General features: G+C 55.8%; 1 protein-coding gene, 1 long non-coding RNA gene and 1 pseudogene across 18 annotated transcripts in view, besides 10 other annotated features; 1 reads left to right on the forward strand and 2 right to left on the reverse strand.

Moving 5' to 3' along the window:
* Positions 66–638: an enhancer, noted in NCBI's record as "H3K4me1 hESC enhancer chr14:73702487-73703059 (GRCh37/hg19 assembly coordinates)". NCBI's record gives its function as "activates a minimal SCP1, AML or CMV promoter by ChIP-STARR-seq in primed H9 embryonic stem cells {active_cell/tissue: H9 hESC(primed)}" and the evidence as "EXISTENCE:reporter gene assay evidence [ECO:0000049][PMID:30033119]".
* Positions 66–1210: a biological region, named in NCBI's record as "H3K4me1 hESC enhancers GRCh37_chr14:73702487-73703059 and GRCh37_chr14:73703060-73703631".
* Positions 92–22197, forward strand: part of PAPLN (papilin, proteoglycan like sulfated glycoprotein) — a 38819-nt gene continuing 16713 nt past the window's right edge. For 5 of the 17 annotated variants that reach the window (XM_047431873.1, XM_011537293.4, XM_017021749.3 and 2 more), the window contains exons 1-11: positions 9527–9983; positions 10360–10462; positions 14271–14401; positions 15194–15317; positions 15773–15853; positions 15951–16123; positions 16305–16428; positions 16936–17062; positions 18041–18248; positions 18800–18982; positions 19164–19305. In XM_047431873.1, the coding sequence (XP_047287829.1) occupies positions 9672–9983; positions 10360–10462; positions 14271–14401; positions 15194–15317; positions 15773–15853; positions 15951–16123; positions 16305–16428; positions 16936–17062; positions 18041–18248; positions 18800–18982; positions 19164–19305 (1708 nt within the window). In that variant the 5' untranslated portion in view covers positions 9527–9671. Of the gene's footprint in view, positions 148–1792; positions 1880–2749; positions 2815–3897; positions 4120–8930; positions 9047–9513; positions 9984–10359; positions 10463–14270; positions 14402–15193; positions 15318–15772; positions 15854–15950; positions 16124–16304; positions 16429–16935; positions 17063–17349; positions 17514–18040; positions 18249–18799; positions 18983–19163; positions 19306–22197 lie in introns of those variants that run through there. The other 12 variants (NR_158678.2, NM_001365906.3, XM_047431874.1 and 9 more) reach the window with 9 other exon arrangements.
* Positions 428–722: a silencer, noted in NCBI's record as "tiled region #813; K562 Repressive non-DNase unmatched - State 21:Repr". NCBI's record gives its function as "represses a minimal TATA promoter and a strong SV40 promoter by Sharpr-MPRA in K562 cells {active_cell/tissue: K562}" and the evidence as "EXISTENCE:reporter gene assay evidence [ECO:0000049][PMID:27701403]".
* Positions 639–1210: an enhancer, noted in NCBI's record as "H3K4me1 hESC enhancer chr14:73703060-73703631 (GRCh37/hg19 assembly coordinates)". NCBI's record gives its function as "activates a minimal SCP1, AML or CMV promoter by ChIP-STARR-seq in primed H9 embryonic stem cells {active_cell/tissue: H9 hESC(primed)}" and the evidence as "EXISTENCE:reporter gene assay evidence [ECO:0000049][PMID:30033119]".
* Positions 1784–2354: an enhancer, noted in NCBI's record as "H3K27ac-H3K4me1 hESC enhancer chr14:73704205-73704775 (GRCh37/hg19 assembly coordinates)". NCBI's record gives its function as "activates a minimal SCP1, AML or CMV promoter by ChIP-STARR-seq in primed H9 embryonic stem cells {active_cell/tissue: H9 hESC(primed)}" and the evidence as "EXISTENCE:reporter gene assay evidence [ECO:0000049][PMID:30033119]".
* PAPLN-AS1 (PAPLN antisense RNA 1) lies at positions 8305–10288 on the reverse strand. The gene is made up of 2 exons (NR_135248.1): positions 9811–10288; positions 8305–9531 (listed from the first exon to the last, which is right to left on the reverse strand). It is a non-coding gene; the product is annotated as a PAPLN antisense RNA 1 (long non-coding RNA).
* Positions 10123–10392: a silencer, noted in NCBI's record as "silent region_5906". NCBI's record gives its function as "represses an Ori minimal core promoter by ATAC-STARR-seq in GM12878 lymphoblastoid cells {active_cell/tissue: GM12878}" and the evidence as "EXISTENCE:reporter gene assay evidence [ECO:0000049][PMID:35858748]".
* Positions 11059–11166, reverse strand: RNU6-419P (RNA, U6 small nuclear 419, pseudogene; annotated as a pseudogene).
* Positions 11340–11409: an enhancer, noted in NCBI's record as "active region_8696". NCBI's record gives its function as "activates an Ori minimal core promoter by ATAC-STARR-seq in GM12878 lymphoblastoid cells {active_cell/tissue: GM12878}" and the evidence as "EXISTENCE:reporter gene assay evidence [ECO:0000049][PMID:35858748]".
* Positions 11548–12049: an enhancer, noted in NCBI's record as "H3K4me1 hESC enhancer chr14:73713969-73714470 (GRCh37/hg19 assembly coordinates)". NCBI's record gives its function as "activates a minimal SCP1, AML or CMV promoter by ChIP-STARR-seq in naive H9 embryonic stem cells {active_cell/tissue: H9 hESC(naive)}" and the evidence as "EXISTENCE:reporter gene assay evidence [ECO:0000049][PMID:30033119]".
* Positions 12861–12940: a silencer, noted in NCBI's record as "silent region_5907". NCBI's record gives its function as "represses an Ori minimal core promoter by ATAC-STARR-seq in GM12878 lymphoblastoid cells {active_cell/tissue: GM12878}" and the evidence as "EXISTENCE:reporter gene assay evidence [ECO:0000049][PMID:35858748]".
* Positions 19114–19614: an enhancer, noted in NCBI's record as "H3K4me1 hESC enhancer chr14:73721535-73722035 (GRCh37/hg19 assembly coordinates)". NCBI's record gives its function as "activates a minimal SCP1, AML or CMV promoter by ChIP-STARR-seq in naive H9 embryonic stem cells {active_cell/tissue: H9 hESC(naive)}" and the evidence as "EXISTENCE:reporter gene assay evidence [ECO:0000049][PMID:30033119]".

Genomic DNA, 22197 nt, shown 5'->3' on the forward strand with positions numbered 1-22197 from the left:
TGTTGAATGGAAGAAGCGCTTTTCCTCTTTAGAGAGGCTGCATGATTCCACTCCCCTTTCTCTGCCAAGCTTTATCTTTGCTTAAGAATTCACACAACTCCCCAGGGGCCCCGCTACAGCTGCTGCTCCTCCTGTCTTCATTGATAGGTAAGAAATGCACCTGATTTAAACTGATTTAAACTGGCCATGTTCTAATAAGCATTTTGTCCAAACAGGCAGCTGCTGGAGCCAGGGGGCTGAAGTGGGGCTGAGCTTCCCGCTGGTGACTTCTCTTTGCCCAAATGAGGCCAAGGGAGAAGTGGCAGGGCCAGCAAGGGGCTAAAGGCAGAACAGCGTGGGGGAAGGGGACCAGCCTTTGCCACCACCCCACCCCCAACCTCTCCCCAACTTCTTCCCCCCAACCTCCCTCGTGTCCAGGACCAGTTTCTAAAGATGAGTGAATTCCAGTTTCAAAAAAAGAATGGTAGGCAAAGAGTGTCTTGGTTGTGAAAAAGGACAACCAGGAAAACAAATGAAGTTGATCACATGCGTTGAGCCCCTGCCTTGATGCTAATTAGTGCCCTGGCACAGGTGGTGGGGCTGCATTGCAGGCCCTGCCCCCCGGGACTCACAGCTGAGCAAATCACAGCAACAGGGACAGAAACCGAGGGAGCAGGACATGCACCCCATCGGCCTGGGGTGGTGTGGAGACGGCTTCAAAAGCAGGTGACATGCTGGGCACGGTGGCACTTTGGCAGGCCACGGTGGGAAGATTGCTTGAGCTCAGGAGTTCGAGACCAGGTTGGGCGAGACCTTGTTTCTATTTAAAAAAAGAAGAAGAAGGCTGGGCGCAGTGGCTCACGTCTGTAATCCCAGCACTTTGGGAGTCCGAGGTGGGTGGATCACCTGAAGTCAGGAGTTGGAGACCAGTCTGGCCAACAAGGTGAAAACCTGTCTCTACTAAAAATACAAAAATTAGCCAGGCATCATACAGACGCCTGTAATCCCAGCTACTAGGGAGGCTGAGGCTGGAGAATCGCTTGAACCCAGGAGGCGGAGGTTGCAGTGAGCCAAGATCTAGCCATTGCTCTCTACCCTGGGCAACAAGAGTGAAACTCCGTCTAAAAAAAAAAAAAAGAAAAGGAGGGAGGAAAGTAGAAAGAAAGAAAAGAAAGAGGAAGAAAGGGAGGGAGGAAAGTAGAAAGAAAGAAAAGAGGAAGGGAGGGAGGGAAAGAAAGAAGAAAGTGAGGGAGGAAAGTAGAAAGAAAGAAAAGAGGAAGGGAGGGAGGGAAAGAAAGAAGAAAGGAAGGAAAGTGACATTTGACCAAGGTTTTGAGGGCTGACTACGGGTTTGAGAGGTAGAGGGGATTGGGAGAGCGCATTCTGAGTGAGAAAACGTGCTGGGAGATGGGTAACAGCAGCGTGTGCGGAGAAACTCAGTTGCGGCTGAAGAATAGGATCCAGGGGTGGAGAAGGTGGTGGCTGGACACAGGTGTGTTGTGTGTAGGATAGGCATGAAGAGGAGCGGATAGGGCAAAGCTAGAAGGCTTGGGCAAGGGGAAATGGGATTGGAGAGGTGACTGGCGCTGACCCAAGAGAGGACAGACGGGGTGACCAGAGTGGAGGATGAGCCAAGCCTTGGCACAGACCCAAGCGGGTGGAGGCCCCGGGCAACACCGGTCACCACGAGGGCCTCTACGAAGGGCTCTGTCCTCCCACGGGGATTGGAGGTGGGTAAGTGAGACAGGGCGGGGTGGAGGGTGAGGCCAGGCAGCGGCGGAGAGAGAAAGTCCCACCCCTGCGGGCGTTCCTTGCGGCCCGGCCGACCTCGCGGGCTTGGGCCTGGGCGGGCACCGACGGAGCGGCCCTGGCTGCAGCCTCCCGGCGCCAGCGAAGACAGGTAGGGAGGCGGAGGGACTGGAAGCCCCCGGGCGCCCAGCGGCGGGGACCCCGCACCCCGGGGCTTCTGCAGGAATTTGCTCGCCTGGCTCACGGCGACGGGGGTGTCGGAGAAAGTGGGGGCCGCAGAGAAGACCCCGCCCCGGCTCGCTCTCCGGAGGTGGGCGCAGGGTCATCGCTCGGCACCGCGCGCCCCCCGGCCTGGAGGAAAGGAAATGCAGAGAGCCGGGGAGCTGGTGCGGGACGGCCCCGGCGCGCACCCTCCGCCCGCTCGGACCTTCCCTTCAGGCGAATGCCGCTCCCGGCGCGTGGTACAAGCGAGGCCCTGGAGACCGTGCGCCCCTCCCGGGAGGTGCCACTGGGCCGCGGGCCTGGAGCGTCCGGGAGCCCCAGCGGCTGCCGGCACCTGCGCGGCCACCCCGGGCCTCCCGTGGGAACCGCGCCTCTCCGCCTCGGGGGTGCGCGGCGCGTTCCTGGGGTGGGGACGCGGGGTGCCTGGTCAGGGCTGGACCGATGCAGAGGGGGGCCGTGGGCGGGGGCCACGGGGACGGGCGTCTGCGGACTGCGGCGGTCCCGGAGTCGGCTGGGGACCCTGTAGGGGGAGGCTTGGTCGGCGGCCACCCGCCTTCCCGCCCTCTGGCGCCTAGGGTCGCCGCCTTCGGCCCTAGCTCAAGGCAGACGCGTTCCCCGGGAACAACACGTTGAGGGCGCCCACCCTGCGTGCCCGGGGCCACCCGGTCCCTGCCCTCGGGCGGCAGGAGAGGTCGAGCTTCCACGGCCCTCGGAGTAGCCCCGTGACCAGACCCGGACTGGCCTTGGAGTTGAAGGGGTTGTTTGCCACCAAATGAACCGAAAAAACTGAACTTTTCAGACTTCGGAATGGCAGATATGGGCTTGGAGTTCAGTGAAATTGCAGCGGAGGCGGTGGTGTTCTGAGTAATTACAAGTAAAATTCTTCTTTCACCCGTCTTTTCCTCAGCCTCGCCCGCCCTAGCAGGCCTAGCCTGGCCCTAGCAGGGGGCTCCTGCTCTGGGAGCTGCCCCCAGCAGAGCAGAGGCAGGGCTCTGGCAGCAACCCCCTTCCCTCACCCTCCAACCCCAGGAATCTCGAACTTGACCACGAAAATAATGACTCAATGACTCACTGTGCCAAATTAACGAGTGTGTACATTGTTCAGTATGCCAGGTTACATTTCTGCTGAGCTTGGCTTCTGTATGCTGTCTTTTATCCTTGTAAGCAGAAGTCATTTTATATCTTTAAAAAATTAGAACATTGGTAGAATTACAGATTTTAAAGTTCAAACCTGCACGCTAGTACTTGTTTAATGTTTTGTACTGAAGGGCGCACATTGTTTATGTCATTCTGCGATACAGCGACATGTATGTACACATACACACTGCACAGCGTGTATACCGACTGGACACCTGCACCAAATAGTACACACCAGACTGCACATGGACCCGCCCCGCACACTGCACATGCACTTTGCATGCATGCACACATCAAACCACAGACACTCCACACACACTGCACTGCACACTGCCCTGAGCACACTACACTGTACTGCACACTGCACTGCACTTTCAGGGCTCACACGCTGCACCACGCACACTGCACGGCGCACACTGCACTGCATACACACGTTGGTTATGGAGGCTGCTTATGGAGCTTCCCTGTGCAGAGAAATGCTGGCTTGGGTTTTAAATGGGCTACAATTAACACTTTTAGAGCATTTGGGTTTTCAAAGTGTCTTCAGAGACTTGATTTTTTTAAAGCCTATATTAGGAGTTTTTAAACATCTGATGTAATAGCTTTTTTAAAAGGAATCTTGCTGAATTAAAAGTGAGTCTAATTACTCGGATTCTGAACTTGTTTTTCAACCACATAGAAGTATTTTTAATTGCTCTCTCTTTTTTTCCCCTCTGGAACTCTGAAACAAGTTGTTCTTGAACTTCTGCCAGTTGCGGATGGGCCATTCCTTTCTTGCTCACATGTTGAGCCGCCCGGCGGGGCGCCCTCACGCTGTGTTCTCTGCGGTGCACCGAGGCGCACCCGGCTGTCCTGTTGCGGGTCTCCTGGTCACCTGTGGGCCATAGGGAGAGACGCGCCCACACACTCTCGCCCGCGCCCAGGACAGCTGCGGGAGCCCCGGGCCGCTCTAACCCAATGCGTCTCCCGCAGGCTGAGATGCGGCTGCTCCTGCTCGTGCCGCTGCTGCTGGCTCCAGCGCCCGGGTCCTCGGTGAGTGCGGTCCTGCCCCGGCCCCCGGAGGAACCTGCAGGGGAGTCGGGGGCGGGGACGCGCGGGCCCGCAGGCAACGTCCCCAGGAAAGGGGCGATGTCAGGGAAGCTGGGCTGGGAGGAGGCGAGCCCGCACCGCTGAGCTCCCTCAGAAAGGGCTGGGCCCTTGAAGCCAGCTGGCCAGGGTTCCCAGAACTGCCCGCCCGGCTGCAGGGCGCAGTGTGTAGGAATGGCACCTTCCCAGGGCTTCCCTCCTTCAGAAGGTGGTGGGAGCACTCCATGAAGTCCCCGCCAATCCTGGCGGGTGCAGCCAAGGTGCAGGGCTGGGTGGTCCATCCCACCAGACACCTGTCTTCTGCCTGGAGCCAAACACGGCTTCCCTAAGCTGGGGTGTTTTGGCCTAGAGGTTTGGGGTGCCAGTCGTTTCCATTCCCCTTGGGGTAGCACCTAGGGCAGGGCTGTCCTATGGAACCTTCTGAGATGGCAGAAATGTCCTGTTTCTCTGCTATCCAATAGGTAGCCCCTAGGTCCATTGAGCACTTGAAATGTGGGTGAGGTGAGTTTTAATTTTACTTGACTTTAATTAATTTAAATTTATTTTTAAAATTTTTAAGTATTTATTTATTTTTGAGACAGAGTCTCACTCTGTCACCCAGGCCGGAGTGTACTGGCATGATTTCGGCTCACTGTAACCTCCACCTCCTGGGTTCAAGTGATTCTTCTGCCTCAGCCTCCCAGGTAGCTGGGACTCCAGGTGTGTGCCACCACGCCTGGCCATAATTAATTTAAACAGCCGCATGCGGCTAGTGGCTACTGTATTGGACTGCGAATTAAGACAGTGGACCCAGGAAGCTGGCTGGTGGTCAGAGCTGCTGTTTCATTAACAGGGGCCCAAAGGCCAGGGCTCTCTGGAGAAGGTCCCTGGGTCTTGAGGATGTACAAGGAATCTTCTAGACCACAGGCCCCACCTTTGGGGAGGAGGGGGTCTGCAGAGCTGGGTGTTGCCCTGGCTCAGTGCCTGGCAGAATAGAAGCCACAGAGGCAGCTGGGCCCTGTCCTGCCCCAGGAGAAATCTCCCAGGGTGACCCACAGCCCTGCCCACCCCTCTGTGAGGCAGGCAGGAAGTGAAAGAGGAAGGATCCCTGCGAAAGGACCCAAACTGTTTTCTGCCATGGGGAGGTCGGGGGGGGGATGCCACGTCTGGCATCTGTGGGCGGAGGCTGAGCAGGACTCCTCTGCAGGGGTGTGTGGGGCAGGCAGGATGGATGGCAGTGGGCACTTCTCCCACTAGAAGTGGATCCCATAGATGACACTTCAAGAGCCCTGTGAACCCAACATGGGCCACAGCTGGAGCGGTGGGTGGGCTAGAGGCAGCCTTTTTCATGTCCTCTCGACCACCTGCCAGCTACCCACGGTCCCCTCTGCCACCCCATGAATCTTGCTTCCTAAATGCCACTCTCAGGTCCTTCACCACGTGCTGGTGGCCCAGCTGCATGAAGGCCAAAGCCCAGGTGGAGGGGGCACGAGGACAGCGTCCAGGCCCCAGGATTAAATCCCAGAGCCACCTGGACAGCTGCATGATCCTAGGCAAATAAGCCTTAGACTGCTCTAATTTGGGAGTAATAATGCCCACCCCAGAGGTTGTCATGCAGATGAAACAAATCAAGGTTTCCAAAGCGCCCTTGGTTCTCTTAAACCTTTTCTCCCTTAAGGCCACGCTGAGTAGCCTCATCCGGCTGCCACCTCCTCCCAGTGAGTCTCAGATGGGGCTGGGCGCAGCCTGGGCTGAGAATTCTTCTCTCCCTGCCCTCTGTGAGTCTGCAGGGGGTGTGGCCCCGCTCACAGCTCCACTGCCTCCCTCTGTTGCTGGGGCAGGAACCACCCAGTCCGAGCACCTTCTCTGGATCACTTATGCTGTCAGCGGTCAGTCTGAACAGAATGAGTAAATGAATAAAGGTGGCGGCCTGCGTGTTCCTGGGCCTCAGCCTCTGCTCCCGTCTGCACACGGGTGTGCATGTGTTCTGTCTCTCTCTTACACACGTGCACATTGGGCAGTTGATTCCCCTGGAAACAGTGCAGCAGGAAAGGGGACCCCTGAGTGGCTCCAGGTGGGAGTTGAAGGAGGCATGGGTGGGGCGCCTAGCGCAGCATGAGACAGGTGAGGGCAGGCCCCAGGTGAGGCTGGCTGTATCAGCTCATTCCGGCTTCACGCCATGTCGGGCAGTTCACGGTTTGGGTAATTACAGAGCAAGAGTGTGCTCATGCTGCCTGTGGCTGAAGGTGCTTTCCTTCCTTGGAGAGACAGTGTGGAGTGTGTGGACAGAGCACGGCTCTAGGATGGGACGGACTAGGGCTCCTGGCTAGTGGACACCTGCCTTACAGGTGCTGGGCACAGGAGGCAAGAGGGCATTCTGGAAACAGCATGTCCCTTAGGGGGCCCTTGTTCAGGCCAGTCCTGCCCCTGCCTTATCCTGATGGCCAGGCTGTGGCTCCATGGCAGGGGTACCCCTTGGCCACACACCAGTACACCCAGCCCAGCTCCAGGGAAGGGTGGATTTTGCTGGCTGCTGTGCCAAGGAGCCAAGACAGACATCCAAACAGGCCTTAGTCAGAGGGTAATTGACAACCAGGCCCAACCCAGCAGCTAAGAAAGCAGCCACCCCTGAAGACCTCTCCTGAATACTTAAAATGTGGGATGAGGCTGTGTGTGGGGGGGGCGGGTGCCAGAATCCCAGCTGGGGCTGCAGGCTGTCTCTGGAAAGTCACCCTTCACGCTCAACACTCAGTGTCTTCCTTGTGAAATAGAAACTTGATCCAAGTAAATTTCAGTTTAACTTTCATTCAGAGAAAACTTTGATATTTTGGCTCAGTGGTTTCGAAAGCTTAGAGATTTTTGTCCAAGTTAGACTTGAAGGAGTAGATATTTTACAAAGTGAAAGCTAAGACCTCTCATCTGGCAAGCCCTTCCTTCTTGGTTGTGTGTGGTTCGGCAGGCTTAGCGTGGTTTGTGCGTGGTTTGTTCTGCTTCAGTGTTCTGGGTTTTGTTATAAGACAAGGATAACTAGATGTTTGGCACCAGGGATGTTAGAGATGAGTAAACGTCCTTCCTCACCTGAGATTCAGCGAAGCTGCTCAGGGGTCACCATGAAAGCAAGAGCCTGCTTTTCTTTTCTTTTTTTGAGATGGAGTCTCACTCTGTCGCCCAGGCTGGAGTGCAGTGATGCAATCTCGGCTCACTGCAACCTCCACCTCCCGGGTTCAAGCAATTCTCCTGCCTCAGCCTCCCGACTAGCTGGGATTACGGGCACCCGCCGCCACGCCTGGCTAATTTTTTGTAGTTTTAGTAGAGACGGGGTTTCGCCATGTTGGGTAGGCTGGTCTCGAACTCCTGACCTCAGGTGATCTGCCTGCCTTGGCCTCTCAAAGTGCTGGGATTACAGGCATGAGCCACCGTGCCCGGCTGCTTTTCTGTGTGACCATTGAGCTCTTTCTCTGAAAAGTGGGAATGGTATTTTTCCTTGAGTCTTAAGTGGTGATACCCTAAAAGAAAGTCCCCTTCCAGCAAATGTTTGCATGTACACCATATGCCTCCTGGGAAAATTGTGAAGTTACATCTAATCCCTGTCCAACCCTGTAGGGAATCATCTAGTGTCTCATTTGATTCCCCCAGGTGGGTGGGGGCACAGCCTCGGCAGGGGAGCAGAGGACTGCAGTGAGGCTGGCCGGCTACTGTGCCCACTTCTTCCCCTGTGGTTTCCTCTCTCTGCCTCACTTTTCTTATTCATGCAATGGGGTCTGTCGGGTTGTTGTGAGGATGAAATGAGATAATGTGTGTGTGGCATGTGGATTCCTGATGCCAGCTGCAAGGGGTCCAATCTTTCTGGTGGGAAAGTGTACCTGCTAGGATTATAATCCTGTGTAGAGTCCCAAATAACAGTTCTTCAATAAGACAGACATGATTCCTCTCTCATATAAACACCCAGGGGTCAGAAGTCTGGGGCTATTCTGTTGCACAAAATCCTCCAGGCTCTAGAGTCCCTCTATCTTTGCTTCACTGTTTGAAGCCTCTATTTCCAAGTTACCTCACAGTCTAAAAGGCTGCTCCAACTCCAGCCATCACATCTGCTTCCCAGACAGCCTGAAAGAGTACAGGAGGAAGGAGAAAAGGACAAAGGCTCACGCAGGCTCTCTCTTGAGGAGATTATTTGCGGCAGCTGCCCAACACTTGTATTTACATCTCACTGATGAGAACTAAGTGATGTAGCCACAGTTAGCTGCAGGCAGTCCAGGAAATGTATTTTTTTTTTAAATTTTGGGCAGCCAGGTACCCAGCTGAGTCAAGTTTTCAAGCATTCTCTCACAATGGGAGAAGGAGGGGATGAATATTGGGGTACTCCTGGGAGTCTCGGCCAGATTAGCAGGATCCCCCCACGTTGCTTCCCTTTATTTTCTTTTAGGCCCCCCTCCCCTACATCACGGTTAACCTACAAATGCCTGGACCCTCAAACTGCCCCTGGCTGTAGGGTCCCTCCCCTCCAGTGGCCCCTGAAACTCCAAACTCTTCCCAGCTGCTCCTGCTCCCGCCCTCCAGGCCTGGCTCTCAGCTCCTTATGAGGAAAGCAGGCTAATTCTGAAAAGGAATATGTTTTGGGGTGCCCGGCAGTGTTGCTGAGTCCTAAAGGTGGGCCCTGGAAGGGAGAATCCCAGACTCCTTGATGGGTAGGGGAGGGTTTTAGGCAGAGCATCTTTGGAGGGGCCTCTGGGCTCAGGCTGTGAGTGGGCAATGCTGATGCATGGTCCTGTCTTCTGCAGGCTCCCAAGGTGAGGCGGCAGAGTGACACCTGGGGACCCTGGAGCCAGTGGAGCCCCTGCAGCCGGACCTGTGGAGGGGGTGTCAGCTTCCGGGAGCGCCCCTGCTACTCCCAGAGGTAGGAGAGATGAAAATGGGCCAGCTTGTTAAAGCAGGAGCAGGGGATGCTGCCTTCTGGGTGGTGGGCTAGGTGGTCGTGGCCTAGGCTAGCACTGGCCACATCAGCAGAACCCACCAAGGAGCAGATTCATTCTGGAAGCAGCATCAGTTCAGCGCAGGAAATCAAACCATTTCCCAGGGCCTTCCACTCTGAGCTGGAGCACGCGTGCTGCCTGTTGCCCCTGGTCTCCAGCTCCTGATGCTGCACCGGCCTGCAGTATGGCAGGTGCAGTCAATTTTGCTGGAACTGGTAAATAATCTTCAACCGGCAGTTCCCAATTCCTGTGGTTTCTTTACCGAGTACAGATGTTCCCCACTTCAAGCGATTTATTAAATGCTTGCTGTGTGTGCTGCACTCCGGCAGGGTCAGTGGAGAAGGTGGGGCACAGAAGGAGTAGTGAGGTGCCTCTGTCCCGGTTTGTATAGGGGTTGTTCCTGAGAACCCTATGTGAGGAGGAATGAGAGACCAGGAATGATCCTAAGAGCCTTATACTGATGTCCTGCTTAGATCGCAGGATGGCTGTGCCAAGCGGGTGGGTATTATATCTCATGCACCTCGGGTCTTCTCTGGGAATCTGCCTAAGATGCAGTGGAGTGGTCCCGCCTTAAATCCAAACTATAGGGTGGGTAGGGCTCTGAGTCCCGCTTCTCTGGAGTACCAACATGGGTCGCTCACTCCCACCTGGGGGATTTACGGGGTGGGGTCGGGGGACACCCTCTCACCTTGCTGCTCCCACTGGAGAGTCCCGCAGAAGTTGGGGCCTGCAGAGAGCCCCAGAACGGGGGCAGGGACGTTGGGTCTCGGTCAGGTCTTCCCGGTGCTCTGGTCCCGCAGGAGAGATGGAGGCTCCAGCTGCGTGGGCCCCGCCCGGAGCCACCGCTCTTGTCGCACGGAGGTAAAGCTCACGGGGCGCGGGCGAAGGCACCAGCTTCCCCAGCCCCTCCTGGCCGATTTCCCCATTGGGATGCCCGCTCCTGGCCGCGGGCTGCTGGGTTGGCCCAGCCTGGGGTCCTCCCGCCAATCCACAGCAGGGCTGCGTGGGGGCCCCTTCCTCACCCTGCTCCCGGGGACTGGCCTTGCCCTCCACAGCCTAGAGCACCATGGAGGGGCACGCACAGGAGTTCGGGGGTCCGGGGGGCGGACTCCACCTCCGGCGGCTCCGATGGGGCAGGCAAGGGAGACTCCTGGGCTCCCTGGGCTCGGGCGGGGCGGGAGGTGGGCGGACCTCGGACTCCGCCCTCCTGGATCCCGACTTCCCCTCCGCCCCGCAGAGCTGCCCCGACGGCGCCCGGGACTTCCGGGCCGAGCAGTGCGCGGAGTTCGACGGAGCGGAGTTCCAGGGGCGGCGGTATCGGTGGCTGCCCTACTACAGCGGTGAGCGCGGCCGGGACTCGCTCTCTCGGGGCCTCTTGTATACCTACGTTGATGCCACAGTTCCTATTGCCGTATTATAGAGGCGTTGTCATATATATATATATTAGAGACAGTCTCACTGTGTTGCCCAGGCTGGTCTTGAACTCCTGGGCTCAAGGGATCCGCCGGCAGCGACCTCCCAGAGTGCTGGGATTGCAGGCGTGAGCCACTGTACCCGACCAATTTTTTTTTTTTTTTTTTTTTTTTTTTTTGGGTGGGCGCGGGGGCTCGCAATGTACAGGAAATCTTGTAGACCACAGGACCCACCTTTGGGGAGGAGAGGGTCTGCAGAGGTCCCTCGAGAGAGAGCAAGAGGTCTCTCTTTTTCTTTATCTTTTTTTCTTTTCTTTCTCTCTCGTTCTCTCTCGCTTGCTCTTTTTTCTCTCTTCCTTTCCTTTCCTTTTTTTCTTTTCCTTTTTCTTTCTTTCTTTTTTTTTTTTTTTTGAGACAGGATCTTGCCCAGGCTTGAGTGCAGCAGTGTCATGTCAGCTGGGCAGCATGTACCTCCCAAGCTCAATCAATCCTTCCACCTCAGCCTCCCAAATAATTTTTAAAGTAAATATGGAATGCTTCATGAATTTGCATGCCATACCAGCTAAGGGGGCAGGGGCTGTGCTAATCTCTGTATCGTTCCAATTTTAGTATATGTGCTGCCAGAGCCAGCATTTGTCAAATACCCCATCGATCAACCCATAATGAATCAATCACCAGTACCCCTGCTCCCCCCAGCACATGCCCGTGGCAACACCATGGCAGCCATTTTGAGGTCTTTCCATCCTTTCTCCCCTTATGTATGTATATTTTCAAACGAAGCTATGGTGTGTCTATACCATTTTGAGCCCTGTTTTTGCTCAGTCTGCTATGGGAAGCGTTCCTCCCGTCGCACAGAGACGGAGATGGGGAACCCCGGGAGCGGTAGCAATGGTGCCCCACGGTCATCCTGCAGGAGGGGCTGGAAGGGGCTTGGTACACCAAGACTTCATTTATCAAGGATCTGGGGGCCAGAGGAGATGGTCTGTGCACCTCTGAGGAGGGTATAAGTCATTAATTTTTAGAGAAATACAGTTCAGGGAAAAAACACCCAGGTAAGCACCAACATGTATGTCATTAAGCATTTTAGATGAATCAGAAGATTCCTCAAGACAAGTCTTCTGAGTGTTCGTTTTCCCTGCTTGCGGCAAATGACCTCTGGAGACCCTGTGGCACTCTAGATTCCAGATCAAGGAGCACTTATATTCTCTCTGTGTGTGTGTGGTGGGGATCGTGGCTGTGGGCATGGCCCAGTGGGAGTCTCATATCCTGTGTATGTGTGTGTGTGTGTTGTGGGGATCGTGGCTGTGGGCATGGCGCAGTGGGAGTCTCATGTCCTCTGTGCGTGTGTGTGTGTGTTGTGCCGATCGTGGCAGTGGGTGTGGCCCAGTGGGAGTCTCTTATCCTGTGTGTGTGTGCGTGTGTGTGTGTGTGTGTTGTGGGGATCGTGGCTGTGGGCATGGCCCAGTGGGAGTCTCATGTCCTCTGTGCGTGTGTGTGTGTGTTGTGCCGATAGTGGCAGTGGGCGTGGCCCAGTGGGAGTCTCTTATCCCGTGTGTGTGTGTGTGTGTGTGTGTGTGTGTGTGTGTGTGTGTGGTGGCGATCGTGGCTGTGGGCGTGGCCCAGTGGGAGTCTCATATCCTCCGTGTGTGTGTGTGTGTGTGTGTGTGTGTGTGTGTGTGTGTGTGTGTTGTGGGGACCGTGGCTGTGGGCATGGCCCACTGGGAGTCTCATATCCTCTGTGTGTGTGTGTGTGTGTGTGTGTGTGTGTGTGTGTGTGTGTGTTGGGATTGTGGCTGTGGGTGTGGCCCAGTGGGAGTCTCATATCCTCTGTGTGTGTGTGTGTGTGTGTGTGTGTGTGTGCGCGTGTGTGTGTTGTGGGGATCGTGGCTGTGGGCATGGCCCAGTGGGAGTCTCATATCCTCTGTGTGTGTGTGTGTGTGTCTGTGTGTGTTGTGGGGATTGTGGCTGTGGGCATGGCCCAGTGGGAGTCTCATATCCTCTATGTGTGTGTGTGTGTGTGTGTGTGTTGTGGGGATTGTGGCTGTGGGCGTGACCCAGTGGGACTCTAGCTTTCAGAATTCCCCCTGGATCCTGAAGTGGACACATGTCAAAAATAATTTGATTATAGTCACATGATAGAAAAATTGGAACACAGGGGAAAGTCTAAAAAGAGAGTAGAGGGATACCTTCCATGGTATGGAGATGATTATAATCCTGTTTGTACTTTTGGGTTGTTTTAAAATGTGTATATATTTAGATAAATATAAAAATTAAGGTAGGGTACAGTGGCTCATGCCCGTAATCCCAGCACTTTGGGAGGCTGAGGCAGGAGGATCACTTGAGTCCAGGAATTTGAGACAAGCCTGGGCAATGTGTGAAACCCCATCTCTACCAAAAATACGAAGATTAGCCAGGCATACAAAGATTAGCTAGGCATGGTTGCACACCCATGTAGTCCCAGCTATTCGAGAAGCTGAGGTGGGAGGATCACTTGAGCCCAGGAAGTTGAGGCTGCAGTGAGTCAAGATCACACCACTGCACTCCAGCCCGGACGACAGAGTGAGATCTTGTCTCCAAAAGAAGAAAAAAAAATTAAAACCAGGCCAGGTACAGTGGCTCCTGCTTGTAATCCTGGTGCTTTGGAAGGCTGAGGCAGGAGGATCATTTGAGCCCAGGAGTTTGAAACCAGCCTGGGTATCGTAGTGAGACCCTGTCTCTACAAAAAATAAAAAAATTAGCTGGGTATGATGGCATGTGCCTATAGTCCCAACTATTCGAGAGACTGAGGCTGGAGGACCACTTGAGTCTCGGAGGTAGAGGCTGCTGTGAGCTTTGATCGTGCCTCTGCATTCCAGCCTGGGAGACAGAGTGAGATCCCATCTGAAAAACATTAAAACCAGAAAAAAGTTATCCTCATCCTGCCCCTTTCACAAGATCACTGTTAGCATTTCATTTTAGCCCCTTTCACATTATTCTCTCCATATATGCTTACATATTTGTAATTATTGCATAGTAATCACCATTTTGCATTCTGTGTTTTAAGCATCTTCCCACACCATATAGTCTTCACAATCATCATTTGTAACTGCATAGTCAGCATGTGTAATATTCCATTGATAATTTATTTAAAGAGTAGCCTGTTATGGCCATGCACAGTGGTTTACACCTGTAATCCCAGCACTTTGGGAGGCTGAGGCAGGTGGATCACCTGAGGTCAGGAGTTCGAGACCAGCCTGCCCAACATGGTGAAACCCCATCTCTACTAAAAGTACAAAACTTAGCCGGGTGTGGTGGCGCGTGCCTGTAGTCCCGGCTACTAGGGGGGCTGAGGCAGGAGAATTGCTTAAACTAGGGAGGCGGAGGTTGCAGTGAGTCGAGATCGTGCCACTGCACTCCAGCCTGGGCAACAAGAGCGAGACTCCACCTCAAAAAAAAAAAAAAAAAAAAAGTAGCCTGTTGTAACCACCTCAGCTGTGGTAAATAATGCTGAGGTAGACTTCTTTAAGTGTTTCACTTTTTCCTGATTCTGGGATTTTTCTTCGACTTGATCCTTAGAGGTGCAACAGATTCATGGAGACGGTCCCTTCTCCTGGGGATGGGGCGGGGATCTGTGCTCTGCGGGGCCTGCTGCAGGGCTTTCTGACCCATGCTTTCCTGTTGCTAGGGTAAGCCTTGGGTCTTGGGGAGGGGCATCATCAACCTCAGGATCTCAGTCTTGCCTTCCTGCCCACCCCAGCCCCAAACAAGTGTGAACTGAACTGCATTCCCAAGGGGGAGAACTTCTACTACAAGCACAGGGAGGCTGTGGTTGATGGGACGCCCTGCGAGCCTGGCAAGAGGGATGTCTGTGTGGATGGCAGCTGCCGGGTGAGTGGTGCCCCAGCCCCTCCCTGCCTCCGGGCTGCCTGGGGGCTCAGTGCGGGTGTTTCCCTGTCCATCACCCATAGGCCCAGGTAGCTGCCATGAGCTTGGTGTCTTCTCAAGTTACCAGGACACCAAGCCCAGCTCCTAGGGTACCTTGCAGGCATCACAGATGCCCTATGGCCCCTCACCTTCATCCTTGGAGAACGCTAGCCCTACAATAAGAGAAACCCTCTGGGTGGCAGAAATCCGGCTAAAACCGACTTCAGAAAAACAAACAGCAGGGACAGCCGCAGGCGCATGAATGAGGTGCCACTCGGCTTTCCTCTCCTTGGGTCCAGCATCAGGATCTGGCCCATTCTTCCCAGGAGGTGTGGAGGTGGCCGCCAGCTGCTCCGACCTTCTGCTCCCTAGAAAGGGAATTCCCAGGGAAAGGGGGCCTCATTCCCAGGAGTTCTAGCCACCGGGGGTTGTCTCTGATTCGTCTTGGTTTGGGACTTACCCTGAACCACTCCAACCTCCCCAAACCCACATTTGGGGAGCTCCGTTCAAACTCTGCGGGAGAGAGGTGGCCCCTCAAGGAAAACAGGGCATTATTACCAGAAGGGGAGATGGGAGCTGAGCAGACAGAGAAGTGGATTGTCAGCCACAGGCCAGTCCCCTGGCTGGTGGCTGAATCACTCCCGACCACCCTATCCTGCCTGGGCTGCGTGGGTGCTGGGGTTAGGATGCGACGGGGCCCAAGGCCTGATGTGGCCATGATGCCGTCTCCCCTGCCTCCCGCATCTCTGCCCACAGGTTGTCGGCTGTGATCACGAGCTGGACTCGTCCAAGCAGGAGGACAAGTGTCTGCGGTGTGGGGGTGACGGCACGACCTGCTACCCCGTCGCAGGCACCTTTGACGCTAATGACCTCAGCCGAGGTGGGGGTGGTTCCGACAAGGGGCAGTTGCCTGCCCCCTTCCTTGCCTGTCCCTTCCTTGCCTGTCCCTGCTCTGGCCTAGACTCCAGGCCAAGTGGCCCTCATGGCACTGGAAGGCTCTGATCATATCAGGTCACATCTGAAAGGCCCCCTGTGGCCTTTGGTTAGGACTCGTGCCCGCTCGTGCAGTCCCATCTCCTGCTGCCACCGCCTGGATGCCCTCCCCATCCCTTCCCACTCCCAGTGTGCTCCGGGTGCCCTGAGCCTTCCCGCCACCCTGGCTTTTGTACTGCGGCCTCTTCTGCCAGGGTTGCCTTTCCCAGCAGCTCGGCCCTGTCTGGCTCTTGTGTACCCTCCCTGCCCCCATTCTGTGCTGTGTGGCACTTGGAGTCCTGTTTGAGTGGTGCCGGGAGAGGGATAGCCCAGCACACCCAGCACCTGCGTCTCTGCCCCCAGGCTACAACCAGATCCTCATAGTTCCCATGGGTGCCACCAGCATCCTCATCGACGAGGCTGCTGCCAGCAGGAACTTCCTGGGTGAGAGCCTAGGGTTAGGTCCTAGGCAGGTCTGGGGCTGCAGGGGGAGGTGCGGCACTGCTCCCTCTGGCTGACTGAGGCGGTCTCCTCTGCGCAGCTGTGAAGAATGTTCGTGGGGAATACTACCTCAATGGGCACTGGACCATCGAGGCGGCCCGGGCCCTGCCAGCAGCCAGCACCATCCTGCATTACGAGCGGGGTGCTGAGGGGGACCTGGCCCCTGAGCGACTCCATGCCCGGGGCCCCACCTCGGAGCCCCTGGTCATCGAGGTAAATGGGGGTGTGGGGAGAGAGGGCGAGTGGGCAGCTCGTGGTCCCCAAGAGGCTGCCAAGCTCTGTACATGGGGGGTTGAGTGGCTCTGGGCTTGAGGCTGGCAGGGGGCTGTGAGGCTGCGGAGGGTGTGGGAGTGCTCCCCAGCAGCAGACCCCAACAAGGACTCTCCCGTGACAGCTCATCAGCCAGGAGCCCAACCCCGGTGTGCACTATGAGTACCACCTGCCCCTGCGCCGCCCCAGCCCCGGCTTCAGCTGGAGCCACGGCTCATGGAGTGACTGCAGCGCGGAGTGTGGCGGAGGTGCGGGCGTGGATGGCCCAGGGGAGGGCATGGGCCCTGTGTGCTGGATCCCACGGCCACAGGTGGGCAAGTCACAGCCCTCTCCTCAAGGCAGTCCCTCCTGGGGAGATGGACAAGTAGGCGAGAAATCTCTGTGTTATGGGGGTCGCTTTGAGGAAAACCCAGGGATCTGGGGGACTCCATGAAGGACCCCAGCCTAAGCGAATAGAACCAGAGGGGGCTTCCCAGAGTCAGCGGCATCTCATAGGAGACAGACTCCCTCAGGACCGGAGCTGGGCCTGGGGTCAGTGATCAGGTGCCAGAGTAGGGCTCTCTCACAGCAAAAACCCTCAGAGCCTCAGTTTCCTCATCTGCCAATTGGAGATGTGGTGGCACCTGCCTCGGGGGGGTCATCTAAGACTGAATGGGGATGACCTGTGGGGTGAGTGCAGGATGGCGCCTGGCCCAGGGAACGCGCTTGGTGAATGTTGACTGGCGTCTGCCCGCCATGGCTGGGCCTCTGCGCAGGTCACCAGTCCCGCCTGGTGTTCTGCACCATCGACCATGAGGCCTACCCCGACCACATGTGCCAGCGCCAGCCACGGCCAGCTGACCGGCGTTCCTGCAATCTTCACCCTTGCCCGGAGACCAAGCGGTGAGACCTTGCCAGCCCCTCTACCCATGATGAGGCCCAAGAACTTGGGTGGGAAGGGAACAAGGCCTCCAAGCTGCTTTAGGTGTAGAACAAAGAGGTGGGGGTCCAGGGCCCCCCACGCTGTGGCTGGGGTGTGGGAGAGGTGGCAGCTCTTCCTGGGGGAGGCAGAGAATAGGCCTGAGCCCGGGGCTGGTCTCTCTGCTCTCCTGTGACCACGAAGTACTCAGAACACCTAGGCTTGGTGGCAGGAGGGTTGGAGAAGGTTCCAGAGGTCCCTGTCTGTCTGAGCCAGCAGAGGGTTTGGCTTGGCAGATGCCAAGGGGTGGGCCAGGGGTCAGGCCAAAGGGCCTGTTGGCATCGGCCATGGCTTTGTTCGTGCACAAAGGACCTCTTACCTGCACCGGCCTGGAGCGTGGCGCCTTGCTGGGGCCCAGCGAGTGTGTGGGAACAGGTAACCTGCAGGTCACAGGCTCCCCGCAGGGCTGGTGCCACCCTGTCACCGCTTGGCCTTGGTGGCAGCGGGCCTCCTGGGATGGTGGCGGACTTGGCTTTGCATGGGGCCACAGGGCTGCTCTTTCCTCTGGGTCCTTGCACCCGGGGCCTGGCAGAGCCGCTCCACGCATGGGTGAGCACAGCCTCTCCAGGAGCTGCCCCTTGACTAAGGTCAGACCGAGAGGAATGGAGTCTGACTGGGAGACAGGGACCTGGTGGGAAGGAGAAAGGGGGATAGGGTTGAGGACAGGAAAGCCAAGGGGGAGGCGCAGGGCCCCGAGTTGTGGGGAGCGCTCAGAGAGCCAGGCCCGGTGGTGGGGATGCTAAGGAGCGCCTGGGTCGTAGCCTTTGTTCAGGCTGGAGGCTCAGAGGATGGGCTGGGGTGGGGGTCCTCAGGCCACCTGTGTGAGTGAGGGCAGAAACCCTCAGGGCTGGGTTTCTGCCCATGCTCCTGGGCCAGCCTTACCTGATTCCCCCTCCTGCCAGCTGGAAGGCAGGGCCATGGGCACCCTGCTCAGCCTCCTGTGGAGGAGGCTCCCAGTCCCGCTCCGTGTACTGCATCTCGTCTGACGGGGCCGGCATCCAGGAGGCCGTGGAGGAGGCTGAGTGTGCCGGGCTGCCTGGGAAGCCCCCTGCCATTCAGGCCTGTAACCTGCAGCGCTGTGCAGCCTGGAGCCCGGAGCCCTGGGGAGAGGTCAGGCCCCTGGCCCGCATGGGGCTGGTGCTGGACCTGGGTAGCAGCAGGGAAGGGCTGGGGTCTTGTTCTCTGCTGTGGAAACCGAGGTCCTGGGAGGTAAAATAACCGGTCAGGTCATCTTGGAAGCTGTGGCCAAGGCTGGGACCAGAAGCAAGTGTCTGGATGAGTGGTCCAGGGCTCTTCCTTTTTCTCCAGGATCCCAGGGCAGGGCAGGAAAGGCCTGGGCAGGAAGAAGCTGGTGTGTTGTTTGGGGGCAAGGGAGGAGCTGGAAGTGTCTAGGCTGCCAGTCATTGCTTCTAGCACCTACGTATATTCAAGTTGCAAATGGATGGAAAATACAAATGGGTGACAACCTCAGTCTGTTGTCAGTAGCCATGGTTCAGGCTGTGTGACCTCAGGGGAGTGAGTCAGCCTCTCTGGGCCTGGGAAGGACATGGGCAGTTGGGTGCTATCTGCCTCCACACCAGGCTGGTGGGCCGCTAGCTGTCCGAACTGGCGTGGCTCCTGGGGGCAAGGCCGAGCTTCTGCTGACAGCCTTGTCCTTGCAGTGTTCTGTCAGTTGTGGCGTTGGCGTCCGGAAGCGGAGCGTTACTTGCCGGGGTGAAAGGGGTTCTTTGCTCCATACCGCAGCGTGCTCCTTGGAAGACCGGCCACCTCTGACTGAGCCCTGTGTGCATGAGGACTGCCCCCTCCTCAGTGACCAGGCCTGGCATGTTGGCACCTGGGGTCTAGTGAGTGCTCTCCACCCCCACACCTGCTGCCTGACCCTGGTCTCTGGCAGGTGGCTGCACCCGAGCGCCGTCCTTGGACCTGACACGCGCCACTGGGCACCTTCCCCTGCCTCTCTCCATGTGGGTCCCCGCCCCCAGCCTCGCCCTCAGCATCTCTCTCTCTCCCACTCGTGGGCCTCAGTGCTCCAAGAGCTGCAGCTCGGGCACTCGGAGGCGACAGGTCATCTGTGCCATTGGGCCGCCCAGCCACTGCGGGAGCCTGCAGCACTCCAAGCCTGTGGATGTGGAGCCTTGTAACACGCAGCCCTGTCATCTCCCCCAGGGTAAGGACAGGAGGGCAGGGAGGAGTCCGGCCTCTGACCTCTCTCCCACTCGCTACAAACCCAGCAAGCATGTCCTGCCTCGGGGCCTCTGCCTGCACTGTGTCATCCCTCTGGACCCCACTTCTCCCATGTCTCCCCCCGCTGAACCCTTTGCCATCTCTAAGGCCCACCTGGTGTGCAGCCCACCAGGCAGCCCTGCTTTCCTCCACTCAGCGGTAGCATGCCCCTGCCCCTCTGGCCCCCATAGCATGCTGTCATTTCTGTGGGACCCTTAGATTCATTTCCTTGTGCTGCTGTGGTTGTATACGGCTTGTCAGACCTACCCACTATAAGCTTCTTGAGGACTGGGTCCCCAACTTCCATATTCCTCTTTATACCCCCATAGAACTTACCTGACACAGTTAGGTACTCAGTGAATGTCTGTTGAATGACTGAGTGACTGACTGTGTGCTGAGGGAAGGAGGCAGTCCAGGAAGGAGTGTCTCCACATGCCACTTCTGCCTCTGTCTTCTTCCCTTCATCCCCATCCCACTGTGAAAGGAGCCTCACAAGCATGAGGGCCTGCTGGAGAAAGGGCACTGAGGCCAGTGTTTGCGTGGTGTGAGGATGCCACATTGAGGAAGGGTGTGGGTTGTGGTGAGCTGGGGATGGGGGTGGGTGGGTAGCCTCCCAATACTGCAGGGAGGCATGTTTGGCCTTGACTCACTCGTGATGGGGACTCTATGAGCTGTAGGGACCTTGAGATGAAGGAAGGCAGAATTTCTATGAGACATGTGACAGGTGTGGCTAAGAACCAGTGGCCTCAGAGTCAACAGCAGGCTTGGGTTCCGATCCACTCCGTTGCTGACCAGTTGTGTGGCCTTGGGCAAGTGCCCCACCTCTCTGATTCTCAGTTTGCCCATCTGCACAGTGGGGTTAAAAAGAGCGACTTTCCAGACCGTGGTGGTCATGCAGCACAACGCCTGACCGCATGGGGTGCTTGCTAGCTAAGCAGAGGGTGGAAGGGGTGGTGGTGAGGCCTTGTGGGGGAGCTCGGCCATCCGGAGGGCCCCTGGTGCCTCAGCTGGGGCCTGGTCCTTGGGGCTCACCAGCAGGAGAGCCTTGGACTCCCAGGGGTCCAGCTCTCCATGGAGCCAGTCTGTTCCCCAGGGCCTTGTTGGCTTCTAAAAGAGGTGATCTTAAGCCTGTCCCAGGGACTAGCAGGACCCATATAGAAAGGAAGAAAAAGGGCCAGGTGAGGATTAATCCCAGTCTGTAATCCCAGCACTTTGGGAGGCTGAGGTGGGAGGACCACTTGAAACCAGGAGTTCGAGACCCGCCTGGCCAACATTGTGAAATCCCGTCTCTACTAAAAATACAAAAAATTAGCTGGGCGTTGTGGCAGGTGCCTGTAATCCCAGTTACTTGGGAGGCTGAGGCAGGAGAATTGCTTGAACCTGGCAGGCCGAGGTTGCAGTGAGCCGAGATCACGCCATTGAACTCCAACCTGAGCAACAAGAGTGAGACTCTGTCTCAAAAAAAAAAAAAAAAAAAGAAATAGATTTTACCACATATCTGTTGGAGTCTTCCAACCCCAAATTATTGTTTTAAATATCCCTGGGGGCTGGATGCAACTGCTCATGCCTGTAATCCCAGCACTTTGGGAGGCAGATCACTTGAGCTCAGGAGTTCAGGACCAACATGGCAAAACCCCTTCTCTACTAAAAATACAAATATTAGCTGGGTGCAGTGGCCTGTGCCTGTAATCCCAGCTACTCAGGAGGCTGAGACAGGAGAATCACTTGAACCTGGGAGGTGGAGGTTGCAGTGAGCTGAGATCGCAACCCTGTAACTCCAGCCTGGGTGACAGAGCAAGATTCTATCTCAAAAATAAAAAGATTAAAAAAAAAAATAATAAAATAAGTAAATATTTCTAGGGATTGGCAAGATGTAGTCCATGTGGGAATGGAATATTAATTTACTTTATTATTATTTTGAGACAGGGTCTCTGTTGCCCAGGCTGCAGTGCAATGGTACAATTATAGATCACTGCAGCCTCCACGTTCTGGGCTCAAGGGCTCCTCCCACATCAGCCTCCTGTGTAGCTGAGATCACAGGTGCAGGCCACCATGCCCAGCTAATTTTTTGATTTTTTGTTGAGATGGGCTCTTGTTATGTTGTCCAGGCCGGTCTTCATCTCCTGGGCTCAGGCAATCCTCTCACCTTAGCCTCTCAAAGTGCTGGGATTACAGGTGTGAGCCACTGTGCCTGGCCCACTTATTTTATTCTTTATAACTTTCTTCCATTATATAGTAATATGCTTATTTTGGAAAATTTGAAGCACGCAAATAGAAGGGAAGGGCACCCTGCCTCCCAAGCACTCAGAGCAACTTTCACTATGGGCATTATTTCAGGGGGGGTCCTACAGGTTTTCTCTTATGTAGCATTAAAAAAAAATTCTTATTGTCCTAATTTTATCTACTTATCCATTTGCATTTTCCAACAATATTTTGTGACGAAAAATCTTTTTGAAAATTTTAGGGATGTTGTTTAAATAATTCCATATACCCTAAAAACCACCCATTCTAATGGCACAATGATTTTTTGTAAATTTACAAGTTGAACAATATGATAGAAACTTTAAACATGCCAAAAAGTTGAAAGAAATGCATAGTGAGCAGCCATGTACACACTATCTCAATCCCACAACTAGTATTTGGCTATATTTGTGTTTTCATTATCTAGTCTCTTTCTTCTTTTTTTTTTTTTTTTTTTTTTTTTTTTGAGACCTAGTCTCGCTCTGTCGCCCAGTTTGGAGTGCAGTGGCGCGATCTCGGCTCACTGCAACCTCTGCCTCCCAGGTTCAAGCGATTCTCCTGCCTTAGCGTCCTGAGTAGCTGGGATTACAGGTGT

This window comes from Homo sapiens, chromosome 14, assembly GCF_000001405.40.
Source record: "Homo sapiens chromosome 14, GRCh38.p14 Primary Assembly".
Classification (NCBI taxonomy): domain Eukaryota; kingdom Metazoa; phylum Chordata; class Mammalia; order Primates; family Hominidae; genus Homo; species Homo sapiens.